This window comes from Homo sapiens, chromosome 1, assembly GCF_000001405.40.
Source record: "Homo sapiens chromosome 1, GRCh38.p14 Primary Assembly".
NCBI lineage: Eukaryota > Metazoa > Chordata > Mammalia > Primates > Hominidae > Homo > Homo sapiens.
The window spans coordinates 7,497,928-7,510,913 of NC_000001.11; the positions used below are offsets into that span (position 1 = coordinate 7,497,928).

Below are 12,986 nucleotides of genomic sequence, written 5' to 3' on the forward strand. Positions count from 1 at the left end.
ACGGGGCTGCTCGGAAGACAGGCCTTGTCTGCTGGGCCTCACTCGAGGCCCTCAGTGCTCCCTGTGGGAGTCTCTCCTTGGCATGTTGGGATGAGTCCAGTCCTTCCTGGAGAGTCCTTATGGAAAGAGGGGGTGAGAGTGGGGAAGGGGTGCGGGGAGCATCCTGAGGAGAGGGGGAGGGAGGAAACGTCCCCTGCTCACTAGTATGAGCAACAGGATACTGGAGATTTGTGAGTGTGTGTGCATGTGTGTGTATGAGAGTGAGTGTGTGTGTGTGTGACAGTGTGGATGTGTGTGTATGAGAGTGAGTGTGGATGTGTGGGAGAGTGTATGAGAGAGCGTGTGTGAGTGTGAGCGTGTATGAGCGTGACAGTGAGTGTGGATGTGTGTGTAAGAGTGAGTGTGGATGTGTATGAGTGTGTGTAGAGTGAGTGTGGATGTGTGTGTATGAGTGGATGTGTGTGAGTGAATGTGTATGAGTGTGTATGAGTGTGTGGATGTGCGTGTGTATGAGTGTGTGTGAATGTGCATGACAGTGTGTGTGGATGTGTGAGCATGTATGAGAGTGAGTGTGGGTGTGGGTGTATATGCATAGGAATGTTGTGTTGCATGTGTGCATGTTAATCTACCTGTATATGCATGTATATGCATGTGCATGTGTGTGTACGTGTGAGTGTGAACATCTGTGTGCAGTGTGTGTATGAGTGTGCATGCATGTGAATGTATGTGGATGTATGACTACATTGAGTGCATGCATATGTATGTGTGTATATGTGTGTGCACATGGGTGTACATGAGTGCATGTGCAGAGAGGATGAGTGTGCAGAGGATTGTGTGAGCCTGGTGTGCATGTGTATGTATGTGTGTGCATGTGTGTACATGTGTGTAGAGAGGATGGTGTGAGCCTGGTGTGCGTGTGTATGTATGAGTGTGTGTGTGCATGAGTGAGTGTGTAGAGAGGATGGTGTGAGCCTGGTGTGAGTGCGTATGTATATGAGTGTGTGTGTGCATGTGTGTCCATGAGTGTGTAGAGAGGATTGTGTGAGTCTGGTGTGCGTGTGTATGTATATGAGTGTGTGTGCATGTGTGTCCATGAGTGAGTGTGTAGAGAGGATTGTGTGAGCCTGGTGTGCGTGTGTATGTATATGAGTGTGTGTGTGCATGTGTGTCCATGAGTGAGTGTGTAGAGAGGATGGTGTGATCCTGGTGTGCGTGTGTACGTATATGAGTGTGTGTGTGCATGTGTGTCCATGAGTGTGCAGAGAGGATGGTGTGATCCTGGTGTGCATGTGTATGTATATGAGTGTGTGTGTGCATGTGTGTACATGAGTGAGTGTGTAGAGAGGATGGTGTGAGCCTGGTGTGCGTGTGTATGTATATGAGTGTGTGTGCATGTGTGTACATGTGTGTAGAGAGGATTGTGTGAGCCTGGTGTGCGTGTGTATGTATATGAGTGTGTGTGTGCATGTGTGTACATGAGTGTGTAGAGAGGATTGTGTGAGCCTGGTGTGCATATGTATATGAGTGTGTGTGTGTGCATGTGTGTACATGAGTGTGTAGAGAGGATTGTGTGAGCCTGGTGTGCATGTGTATGTATATGAGTGTGTGTGTGTGCATGTGTGTCCATGAGTGTGTAGAGAGGATGGTGTGAGCCTGGCGTGAGTGCGTATGTATATGAGTGTGTGTGTGCATGAGTGAGTGTGAGCCTGGTGTGAGTGCATGTGTATGTGAGTGTGTGCATGAGTGTGTGTGAACCTGGTGTGCGTGCATATGTATATGAGTGTGTGTGTGCATGTGTGTCCATGAGTGAGTGTGTAGAGAGGATTGTGTGAGCCTGTTGTGAGTGTGTGTGTCCATGAGTGTGTGTGGAGAGGATTGTGTGAGCCTGGTGTGCATGCATATGTATGTGTGTGTGCATGTGTGTACATGAGTGTATATAGAGGATTGTGTGAGCCTGGTGTGCATGCTTATGTATATGAGTGTGTGTGTGCATGAGTGAGTGTGCAGAGAGGATGAGTGTGTGGAGAGGACTGTGTGAGCCTGGTGTGCGTGCATAGGTATATGAGTGTGTGTGTGCATATGTGCACATTTACTGTGTAGAGAGGATTGTGTGAGCCTGGTGTGCGTGTGTACGTATATGAGTGTGTGTGTGCATGTGTGTCCATGAGTGTGTAGAAGATTGTGTGAGCCTGGTGTGCGTGTGTATGTATATGGGTGTGTGTGTGCATGTGTGTACATGAGTGAGTGTGTAGAGAGGATGGTGTGAGCCTGGTGTGCGTGTGTATGTATATGAGTGTATGTGTGTTCATGAGTGAGTGTGTAGAGAGGATTGTGTGAGCCTGGTGTGCGTGCATATGTATATGAGTGTGTGTGTGCATGTGTGTCCGTGAGCGAGTGTGTAGAGAGGATGGTGTGAGCCTGGTGTGCGTGTGTATGTATATGAGTGTGTGTGTGCATGTGTGTCCGTGAGTGAGTGTGTAGAGAGGATGGTGTGAGCCTGTTGTGTGTGTGTGTGCATGAGTGAGTGTGTGTGAGCCTCTGGTGTTTGGCATCTAGTTCTCTCTGCAGGTCTGGAGACCTTCTTGAGCAAAGCTCAGGCTACTGCGCCCACTCTGTGCACGCTGGTCTTGAGGACGCGGCCCTGCTCCCCTGGGTGGGCCCGTGGGTCCTGCCCGCTTCTGTAGCAGCAGCAGCCTCCTCTCAAGGGCCCTCTGTTGCTCAGGCCGTGTTCCTGCCTGTGGTCGCCCAGCTTCAATTACCACGGCTCAAAGTCAGAGGCGTGGGCTGGCTCCGTCCAGATGGAGGGAGGGCCGGTGTTCCCTTGCCTCAGAGTCTGCGGGTGGCTTCAGAGAGAAGGGAGCAGAACCTCTTTCCTTTGCTGCCTTAAAGCAGCAAGTCTCGGTGACATCAGGCAGTTCCAGGGCAGAGCTTGTGGCCGCTGTCAAGCCCAGGAGACATCAGGGCTTCATGCTCAACTGGTCACACCCAACTGGCAAGAGGGGTCCCAGGCAGAAACTCTGGGAACCGTAGCCCAGGCCGAGAGCCATCCCCAGGGGACTGAGGTAGGGTCTGCAGGACCAAAGCTGCCTCACACAGACCTTTCAGGAAAGCAAGCACAGATCCTCGGAAGCGGTTACCACCCACCTGTGCCACGCGCCACCCCTCGTCCTTGACACCACTGCTGGCGAGGCAGCCGAGAGAGTATGCTGAGTAAGCAGGTTCTAGGGCATTCTCCCCAGACCCTCCAGGGAGGCTCTCCCTGGAAGGCTGCCTCAGTCCCTGCCCTTCCAGTCAGCAGAGCAAGGCATCAAGCTGAGAAAAGTCCAACAGAAGGGCGGGAGGCAGATTGCTGAGATGAATGGGAAGTGCAGGCCACAGGTCCTGGCAGGCAAGAGGAAGGGAGGCCTGAGAACGGCCTTTGTTCCCGGGATCTCCGGACCAGATGTGCCCTCACAGCTGCTGCTTCAGGTTTCTGTGCTCCAGAGCCCGCTGGAGGGAGAATGCTCGCCAAAGACATCTCATTAGGGATGGCCTTGGGCTTGGCGGGGTGTGGGTTTTGGTGGGAAGAGGAGAGAGGGATGGTTTGTGCTGTCAACCCTGGAGGCCCTGGAGGCTGGGGTGCAGGCTTACCAAATTTAGCAAATGAAAATTGTAGATGCCTGGTTACTTTTGAAATTCGGATAAACAACAGTTTTTTTTTTATTTTAGTCTAGGTATGTCCCACACAGTATTTGGGATATACTTCCACAATTGATTTATTGTTTATCTGAAATTGACATGTCATCGGCACCCTCCACTGTGGGCTCTTCTGCTGTGGGTTTTCCTCTTTGTGCCACCTCCTGCTTTCACACCGATTTCATCCACTCCTACTAAAGCAATAGAGTCTGGGGGTTCTAGGATGCATAGACACCCACTGGGATCCAAATTCCTCAGCTGCCGGCAGCTCAGTGGGGGCTCACATGTGCAGTGGGTTCTCCCTGAGCCCCTGAGGCCTCCAGCTGAGGGCTTTGGGACCCCTGGTGTTTGCAGCAAGCCTGAGTCTCTGAGACTGCAGAGGGGCTGGGGAGGAAGCTAGGGGATCCTCTGCCTTGGCTGCAATCTCAAGCCCCCCGGAGGAGGAAGCAGCAAGGCGCCTGCTGGTTTTCTGCTCAGGGTTAGCACATGTGGTGCAGCGGTGAGCAGATTGCAGGTTGCTAGGATGGGTCCAAGGTCAACGACAGCCCCGGAAGGCAGCTGGTTAGGGCTTACAGGGTGGTCTCCACCCCACTCTCCCCTCTGGAGGTCCAGTTCTCCACACCCCTCCAGACCCTGGCCAACGGCAAGCCTAAACCCAGTCTTCATGCAGAGAAGCGGCTTTGGAGGAAGTGTGTCCTTTGCTCTAGGAAGGAACATTTGCAGTCAGGGCTGTGTGTGGAATTTTTATTCCTCTAATACAGCCTAGGCAGGATGTAGTACACGAGTTCTCCAGAGGAAATGCATTCAATAAAAATTTGATGGGCTCCGGCAGCTCAGCAGAATCTCCTTACGAATTCCAAGTGTTTGTTTGGTCCCTGGCTTGGGCAGGAGCTCAGCCACGTTCTGCAAGTGGCCTCTTTAGTGAGGGAGCCCTTGGAGGAAGGACTCCCTCCACATCTGGAAAGTCGCCTTCAGCCCCCGGCTTTCCCAAGAAGGAGCAGGATTGCTTCACCAGGTCGAGGAGTGGGGGGGCCTCTGGCCTTTGACCCCAAGGAGAAGCGAAGCCCCAGGGCTCTGGAATCGGGCCCTCATAAATGAGATGAGGACACTGAGCACTGGAGGGGGATTCAATGCCGACGGAGATGTGAAGTCAGCGCAAGAATAGAAATGGCCTCGCTGGGCTTAGTGGGGGATGTGTAGTACGTTTCCAGAGATCACCCCTGTACTTCATTCGCTCAGCACACAAGAGCTCCCCTACAAGGGCTGAAGCGAGGCAGGCAGCCCTGCCCTGTGGCCCCTGCCCCGCACCCCCTGCCCCGCACCCCATGGCTCACCCTGGGCACAGATGTGCTTGGAGGGAAACACACACTAGAAGCTTCCTGTGGGCAACGGCCATGTCCATTTGGCTCTCTACTCTCCCCTCTTAGCCGGGGCCTGGCACACAGAGTGGGGTCAGTCAGCGTCAGGACAATGGGGTGGGCGTGTCATGGGCTCTGTGGAATGGGGGAGCCTGCTGGCCACCCCTCTGGCTTGTGAGGTAAATCCAGGCACAAGCCCTAGAAGCCTTGGCTTTTACCAACAGGGCCAGACGATCAGAAAAGTGCCCCGGGCTCTGCTGCCCTTGGAGAGTCAGGGCTGGGGGCCGAGAGCAAGGGTCCAGGGCATGGAGGGCCCTCCCGCCTGGGTTTTTGCTTACAGATGGAGAAGTGGGATTATTAAGCCAGAGGGTGTGCTTCAGAAGGTGTGCTTACGAAGGGGCTTTCGGGTCACAATGCAGAGAACTTCCTCGCAGTGAGCAGCCTTGGGTCCTGGGGTAATACAGCCAGCCCAGGTAGAGGACCATGGAGTTGGCCTGGGTCTCCCTCTGGCCTGGCCCTGGCTGGCCACCTTCGCCGAAGGGGAGGGAATGGTCGCTGCCCTCCCCCACCATTTCCAGGGTCAGGTGCCAGACCTGGGCCTCATCTGCCTTTGCAGGGCATTTGGGAAGCACTTAGCCAGGCCTGACAGTGGCCAGGCTGCTTCATAAGACGCCTGGTGGTGAGTAAAACCCCAAGTCTAGGGCACCTGAAGGCTCTCTCAGGGTAGTTTCCCATTTCCGTCAGGTTCAGCTCAGCTCGATTCTTAGATGTGTGGCCCTCGGGAGGTGGGGGGAGCCTCCTGTTTGTGTGTAGCCTGCCCACCCACAGTGATGCCCACTCGGATGCTGTGCCCACCACACCTGCTGACGGAGTTCCCTGCAAGTGTGACGCATCTGGCCGGCTCTGAGCCACCTCCGCTGCCCCGCACTTGTGTCCCAGGGGACAGAAGCATGGAGGCTGGAGAGGAGCCAGAGGAAGGGCTGGGGGAGGGGAGTCAGGAGCTGGGGGCCTCAGAACGGGAGAACCAGGTGAACAGTCTGACCCCAAAGGGCAGCCAGAGGGGCCTCCCGGGCAGGAGAGGGTGGCAGCCTCAGCCGAGACTGGCCATGCCTGCCATCCCAAGGGCCTCTGTGGGCAGTGGTGGGTTCTTAGGATACCATGGCCGGGGGACTCTGTGTCCTCACTGCGGGGAACGGGTGGGGACTGACTTTGGACCCAGGCCAAGGGTCTGCAATCAGCCTCCCGGGTCCTGCCAGGCTCTGCTGCCCAGGAGGTCTCAGGTGACAACCAGGCCATGCAGCCACGCTCACCTTCCTCTACTGTCTCTCACAGTCTCATGGCCCCGTGGAACCCCCAGGTGTGGCTCCTGGTACCCAGGCTTGGAGAATGTGTCCAGCTGTCCTGCCCCCTTGCTGCCTGGGCTTGGCCTGGGCACAGGGCTCTGCTTCCCTTTGGTATCTGAGGACCCTGCTAGACAGACCCCTGTCCGTCAGGGAGGCCTTCTCAGCCTCGGGCAGGGAGTGTGGGCCTCACAGGCCACCTGCTTCCAGGGCCCTCAGAGCTGCCTGGTCTTTCTGCCAACTGACTCCAAGATCAAGCTTTTGGGGCTTCCAGCTTGGTGTGGGGTTGACCCCACCTGCCTGCTCCACCTGCAAGAGGGAAGAGGTTGGGGATGCACCAAAGATGCCCACAGCCATGTACTAGAGGGGAGAGGTGAGGTCCAGAACATTCTAGAGCAGTGGTCCTCCATGTTTTTCCTACCCTAGCAGTAAAAATGTCTAGGCCCACTGGGAATAGCGGCTCTGGACCGTTAGGGCAGCAGACCAGCCTTTCCTAGAGGGCATGGACATCTCACAAGTGCCTCTTACAGTGACACAGCTGGCCTTTCTCAGAATGCCATGCCCACCACCTCACTGGGCAGAATCACTGGGCAGGAGGAGTTCAGTGTAGCGCACAGCCTCCTTCACGGGCGGACATGGCACAAGCACACAGATGCCTCATGGGCACAGCTGGGCAGGAGGAGTTCAGTGTAGCGCACAGCCTCCTTCACGGGCGGACATGGCACAAGCACACAGATGCCTCATGGGCACAGCTGGGCAGGAGGAGTTCAGTGTAGCGCACAGCCTCCTTCACGGGCGGAAGTGGCACAAGCACACAGATGCCTCATGGGCACATGCATAATATTCACCTGGAGGCCAAGTGCACACATGTTTGTTGCACAGCTAGCTGGCCAGTGGCAGGAAAGGAGGCCCTGAGTGGCCTCCAGGACCTTTGCCCATGGGCCACAGCAGGACTGGCTGCAGCTGCTCCCACCACATCCCCGGCAGCCAAGTCGAGGCTCCCTCTGGCTTCTGAGGGCTGCTGCAAGCACTGCGGTCACTGAGTTTAGGGCCTACCTGAGGGGTGTGCTGGGACGTGGGCGTCTAGTGCAAAAGAAAAACAGTCCTGGGCGGCCCAGGACAGACAGAGCGTGCCACCCTCCCCCAGCTCCAGCCCACCCTCTCCACGGCCCCAGAGCTGCCTGCTGGAGACAGCGGGAAAAGGAGCTTGTGCAGGCCCAGATGGGGCCGGGAGGGGACCTGGACTTCAGATGAGGCCACCCACCCAGGGCTGCAGTTTCAGGGACCTGGCGGTGCCCCAGGGGCAGGGTGTTCCTCCCATGGTCAGGTGGGGGGACCAGGCCAGGAGACAGCCCACCCAGAGGCCACATGAGGCAGCACATTTGGGTCTGGCAGAAGTGTTGACAGATAACCTTGGAATGTCCTCGGGTGGCACAGGGGGACACCACAGTCCGCTGAGCAGGGTCCACTGTACCTGGTCTTCTCAGTCTGGGACGGTCTTGGGTGTCCGGCCCCAGTGCTCATGGTCACCTGGGGTACAGGAGCGAGGGCTGCTGAGGTCCCAGCGGGCACAGCTGACCTGTGGGCGCTTCACCTGCACGACCTCACCTGGCCCTCCCAGTCCGAGAGGCCTCCTCACCCAGGTTCTCAGGCGGGCAGGTTTGGTGGGGGCAGGCTGCAGCAGTGTGGAAAGCAGAAGCCAGTGGAAGGGGAGGCAGAGCTCTTCACATCAGTGATGACAGAACGGCCCAGACCAGAGGGAAGCGGAGGGTGGAGAATCGCAGAGGAGGAAGCCGGCCAGAGGCTGCCTGGGGAACAGACCACCCCCACCCTCTATAACCTCGCTGTGGCACTGGGCTTCAGCATGAGGACTTGGGAGCAGGAACTGGGAATGAAAGGAACACACCAGAACCAGGAAAATCTTCCAGGTGTGGCAAAGGAGAGCAGGGGTGGGACTGAGTCCCAGGTGCCCCAGGGCCCTGAGCCCGGTTCCCAGAGGAGGGAAGTGAGCCCAGCCCAGCCCTGCCCTGGAGCCCCGGCCCCACTCCCAGGGGGAAGGTTGGAGGTTTGGGCTTCCTCAACCCACCACCGGACACCTGTGCACTCAGTCACACACAGTCTCATGCTCACACTCAAAATTCACACTCAAAATTCACACTCTCATACTAACACTCAAAATTCACACTAACACTTCATACTGAAACTCAAAATTCACACTAACATCTCATACTCACCCTTATAATGTACACATGCTCACAAGCTCACTCAAAATTCACACGCACACTCACACGCTCACACTCAAAAGTCACACTCTCATACTAATGTTCAACATTCACACTAACACCTCATGCTGAAACGTAAAATTCACTCTAACATCTCATGCTCACACTCGAAATGCACACTCACACGCTCACACTCAAAATTCACACTAGCATCATGCTCACACAAAATCTCACATGCTCACACTCAATGCAAACTCACATGCTTACACTCAAAATTCACATTAACATGCTCACACAGAACTACACCCATGCTTACACTCAAAAATCACACAGAATTCACACTCGCTTTCATACTAACACTCAAAATTCACACTATCTCTTGCTCACACTCAAAATTCACTCACACTTATGTACTCACAATCAAAATTCACACACACTCAAAATTTGCACTTGCTCTGATACTGACACTCAAAATTCACACTAACATCTCATGCTCACACTCAAAACTCATGCTCACATTATCACACTCAAAATTCACACTTGCTCTCATATTGACACTCAAAATTCACACCCACACTTACATGCTCACCCTCTAACCCTCTCACATTCACACACTCACACTCACTCCCACACTCACACAACACACACGCTCACACTCACATACATAACACCCTCACAGTGGCACACTCACCGATACACACTTGCTCACACAAAACTCACGCTCACATATTTGCACACTCGCACACACCCTGCCTTTTGCACACGGCTGCACACACCCCTACCAGCTCCAGCTCTCCGGCTCTCCCTGCCTCCTGGCTGCTCTGATGTGAGGAGCCGTCTCTGCACAGGTGCCTGCAGGCTGCAGGCTGGGGAGGGGGCACACGCCTGGCACGGGGGTCTATCGGAGCTGTTTACTCCCCCAAGCAGCTCTTGGCCTCACTTCCTTTCTCTCTCATCTTTGGCACCTGAAAAACCCCAACATTCCCAGGAGGGCAAACAGGCCCTTTATTACCTCGTGGGCTCAGAACACAGCATCTTAGTAATTGAAAGTGGCTTGACTCAAATTGCATTTTCCGAGGAGCCCTGCAAGATGGAAGTGCAGGAAGGAGGGAGGCAGGGTGGAGGGAAGCTGCAAGCGCCAGCCCCCGAGCAGGCAACAGGTAGGGGCCCAGGCCCCAGGGGCCTCTCCAGTCTGCTGGCAACTTTGGGGCCCACGGGCCACGTCCAGATAAGAGCAGACCTGGACCCCACCTGCAAAGGGAGTCCAAGCTCTGAGCGGGCAGCCTCTGCCACCTGCGCCAGCCTCCTAACAAGCCTCCACCCCACCTCCGGGTCTTCCCAGCTGGGCACTCGGTGGCCTCCCTGCCTGGCACACCGCAGCTCTCCAGCGTGTGTCTGTTGACCGAATGCTGGTCCAAGCCCCAGGGCTTTGCCACGTGGCTCCCACTCTGTAATGCCCACTTGTTCCTTCACCAAGTCATGACGATACCAGTGGGGTTTATGGGGCACTTGGCTGTGTTCCAAACAGGGAGCGAAGCCCTCGCTTATGATCTCATCAAATCGGTTCCGTACCCTGAGAAGGTAGGAAGTGGTGCTGTTGTCACATTATAGATGGGGAACCTGGAGCCCAGAGAGGTGGAGCTGGGCTTTGCCTGGGGCCCTGACTCTGAGCTTGGGCTTGAAGCAGGGCAGTGCCGGGCCCGGGCCTCCGGTGGACCCTCCACAGACCCCTGTCACAGCCATGGGGAGCACCAGTGGTGGGCAGAGGGCCTGACTCCTGCATCCCACACCCGTCGGAAGAGGCGCTTCAGAGGCCCCTGGAAGCTGGGACGTGGGGCTGGTGAGGCTTGAAAAAGCCTCCTCAAAAATCCTGCTACTTTGATTTGTCGCTAGTCCTGACGATTATTTTGAAATTCCTTGCAGCACTAAAGAAGACTAGCAAAGCAGGGGGCGGACTAAAGTGGGCGGGAAATGCTGCTTTCATGCATCTGCGTGTTGACAGGTATGACCTCCCTGCTCACCCTGAGTTCTCTGAGTCACCTCTGTGCCCCCAGCACCCAGCACTGTGCCTGGCTCAGGGCAAAGGCTCAGAGAATATTTGTTGAGTCAGTGAATGAGGGAAGGAGGGAGGGAAGAGAGAAGGGAGGAGGAAAGTGGGGCAAGAGATGAAGAATGGAAGGAGGTTAGGAAGGTTGGAAGGGTGGAGGGAGGGAAGGGAGGGAGGGACAGTCCTAGAATAGGAGAGGGAGCAGGAAGACAAGGCCTCCCAGCCCTGGCCCTGGAGGAGAGGGGCATCCACACCCACTTAGCCTGTCTGCCAAAATTAATGCATTCTAGCTCCCTGCAAACCTTCTCCCCCTCTTGATTTCTGCAACTCACTCAGCTAATGAGGAAGAAAGGGAAGGCCCCTTCCCATACAGGGCTGGAAAACGTGCAAAAAAAATGCCCATGGCCTGAGACCAGGCGCTACAGGCTATGGGCAGGACAAGCCTGGGCCTCCCTTCCCGGGTCTGTCCTGGGCTCCCTGGCTGCTGTGGGTCCCCCCAGGCAAGATACTCACCCCACTGGGATGGCTGAGCAGAGAGCTGGAGGCAGCAAATGGAAGCACCATCTACTGGGAACCTCATGTCCCTAAAGAATAAGCAGGTTGCTTCTGTCACCACTTTTTTCAATTTAAAGGAGAGTGTGTTGGAACCGTCTTACAAATGCATCTGTTACATCAAACCAAAGCCTGGGCGCCTTTTCTCTCTTTCACTTTATCCCATCCTCACGCTAAAAATACAGCTGGAAGATAAACAGAGCAGCGCTGGCCAGATGACAGAGCTGCCTTCCCCAGAGCCAGGCAACACTTGGGGGTCGGGGGAGCCAGGATTCAGAACAGAGAGAAAACACCGTGACACGGGTTTGATTTCTAAACTGTCGGACCCAGCAGGCTTTATAGTCCACAGACACTTGTACCATTCTTTCCCCTCCTGGTTTACTCTATTTCTGGATTATTGTCTGTAAGTTTCAGAATGGCCCAGGATCCCTGAGTGGTTTATAAATTAGGGCTGTATTCTGGGAGCACCCAGTAGTGCTGCTGTATTTTAGGTGGTGTCAGAGTTTCCATTATAAACCCCATTTCTCAGAGGTTTATAACTTGGCCGTAAAAACGTACTGAGGCCTGAGGCTGGGACCCTACGGTGCACAGCTGCTGGGTCCCTTCCATGCCCCCAGGTGGGGACATCCAGTCGGCCTACAACAGAGAACAAGAGGCTAGGAGACCTGGGCTTTGCCTCCTGGTGTGAGGGGATGTGGACATGGGGCCTCCCCTTGCCAGCCAGGCGAGCTATGTGGTCCAAAGTCTGCTCATAAAGGATTTTCCATGAGTTCACAAGGCCATGAAGCTTTTTAGCAGCCCAGCGACCAAGGGGGAAAAGCTACCCTGACTCTCAGTGACCACAACCTCTGTCACTCCCGAGTCATCCTGCAAAAACAAACAAACAAACAACAAAAAAAAAAAACACTGTCCTCCGAGGCCATCCAGGCCCCCTTTGTACAAGCTCCTGACCCAGTGACCCAACAGATACATTTCAGACTGATTTTCACATCAGGAGGAGATTCCACGCTTGGTACGACGGCACTCGAGATAACACTCCCCGTTTTCATTAAAGGGCAAGCTACCAAGGGTCACCTGTTTGGGATATTGAAGGGGTAAAGGCCAACAGTTCTTAGGTCTAAGGAGTTTGTAAAAAATATGCAAATGCCTGGGCCCCACCCCCGGGAATTCTGGGTGCCCCACTCTGGGGTAGAGCCCAGAATGGCTGTTTTGTTCAGCGATTCCCAGGCTGGCATTGGAGGGTCCATCCCACCTCTGACACCTGCTGGCATTGATGCACCTTGCTTCGCCCCTGGGGGCTCACCTGTCCCATGGGAAGGAAGGTAGTGCCACCTTCCCACTTGTTAAGAGGATCAGGGGCAGTGCCCTCCCAATAGTGACACATAGGTCACAGCTGTAGCTCGTACTATGACTGCGATGGGCAGAGCCCAGTCTGCCACAGGCACTGGAGAAGGAAGAGGATTTCACACAGAGGTTCCAGAGTCCATCAACAATCCATCAGAAATGACGTCAAGAATCTTTCAAGTGATGAAATTCTTGGGGCGAGAATGTGTGGTTTATACAAGCAGCCTTTACCTCCAGCCTTTCCAGAAACTCACATAAAATGAGTTTCCTCCATTGTGTTTACCCTACTGGGGACAGCAGGACCTTTGTCCTCCTGCTCCAGGATGGCTCTCTACCTTCCAGGCATCCCAGTTCATAAACACACACTGTAATTCCTACTTTTGTTTGAGAGCATTGCTTGGGGTCCCGGTGGTTTGGGAGTCACTGTACCTTTGCCAGCGTGACCCTG

At 54.9% G+C, this 12,986-nt stretch overlaps 1 protein-coding gene and 1 long non-coding RNA gene across 25 annotated transcripts in view, besides 6 other annotated features; both read left to right on the top strand.

The window, feature by feature from the left end:
* The window catches only part of CAMTA1 (calmodulin binding transcription activator 1), a 984,253-nt gene that overhangs the window by 712,474 nt on the left and 258,793 nt on the right, over positions 1 to 12,986 (top strand). The gene's annotated exons all lie outside the window — the stretch shown is intronic.
* Positions 2,519 to 3,019: an enhancer, noted in NCBI's record as "H3K4me1 hESC enhancer chr1:7560506-7561006 (GRCh37/hg19 assembly coordinates)". NCBI's record gives its function as "activates a minimal SCP1, AML or CMV promoter by ChIP-STARR-seq in naive H9 embryonic stem cells {active_cell/tissue: H9 hESC(naive)}" and the evidence as "EXISTENCE:reporter gene assay evidence [ECO:0000049][PMID:30033119]".
* Positions 3,020 to 3,520: an enhancer, noted in NCBI's record as "H3K4me1 hESC enhancer chr1:7561007-7561507 (GRCh37/hg19 assembly coordinates)". NCBI's record gives its function as "activates a minimal SCP1, AML or CMV promoter by ChIP-STARR-seq in naive H9 embryonic stem cells {active_cell/tissue: H9 hESC(naive)}" and the evidence as "EXISTENCE:reporter gene assay evidence [ECO:0000049][PMID:30033119]".
* Positions 4,112 to 4,612: an enhancer, noted in NCBI's record as "H3K4me1 hESC enhancer chr1:7562099-7562599 (GRCh37/hg19 assembly coordinates)". NCBI's record gives its function as "activates a minimal SCP1, AML or CMV promoter by ChIP-STARR-seq in primed H9 embryonic stem cells {active_cell/tissue: H9 hESC(primed)}" and the evidence as "EXISTENCE:reporter gene assay evidence [ECO:0000049][PMID:30033119]".
* Positions 5,090 to 5,947: an enhancer, noted in NCBI's record as "H3K27ac-H3K4me1 hESC enhancer chr1:7563077-7563934 (GRCh37/hg19 assembly coordinates)". NCBI's record gives its function as "activates a minimal SCP1, AML or CMV promoter by ChIP-STARR-seq in primed H9 embryonic stem cells {active_cell/tissue: H9 hESC(primed)}" and the evidence as "EXISTENCE:reporter gene assay evidence [ECO:0000049][PMID:30033119]".
* On the top strand, positions 5,110 to 10,698 carry LOC105376691 (uncharacterized). Its single transcript, XR_001737887.2, has 3 exons — positions 5,110 to 5,506; positions 5,650 to 5,712; positions 10,519 to 10,698. It is a non-coding gene; the product is annotated as an uncharacterized LOC105376691 (long non-coding RNA).
* Positions 5,948 to 6,803: an enhancer, noted in NCBI's record as "H3K27ac-H3K4me1 hESC enhancer chr1:7563935-7564790 (GRCh37/hg19 assembly coordinates)". NCBI's record gives its function as "activates a minimal SCP1, AML or CMV promoter by ChIP-STARR-seq in primed H9 embryonic stem cells {active_cell/tissue: H9 hESC(primed)}" and the evidence as "EXISTENCE:reporter gene assay evidence [ECO:0000049][PMID:30033119]".
* Positions 7,590 to 8,227: an enhancer, noted in NCBI's record as "H3K4me1 hESC enhancer chr1:7565577-7566214 (GRCh37/hg19 assembly coordinates)". NCBI's record gives its function as "activates a minimal SCP1, AML or CMV promoter by ChIP-STARR-seq in naive H9 embryonic stem cells {active_cell/tissue: H9 hESC(naive)}" and the evidence as "EXISTENCE:reporter gene assay evidence [ECO:0000049][PMID:30033119]".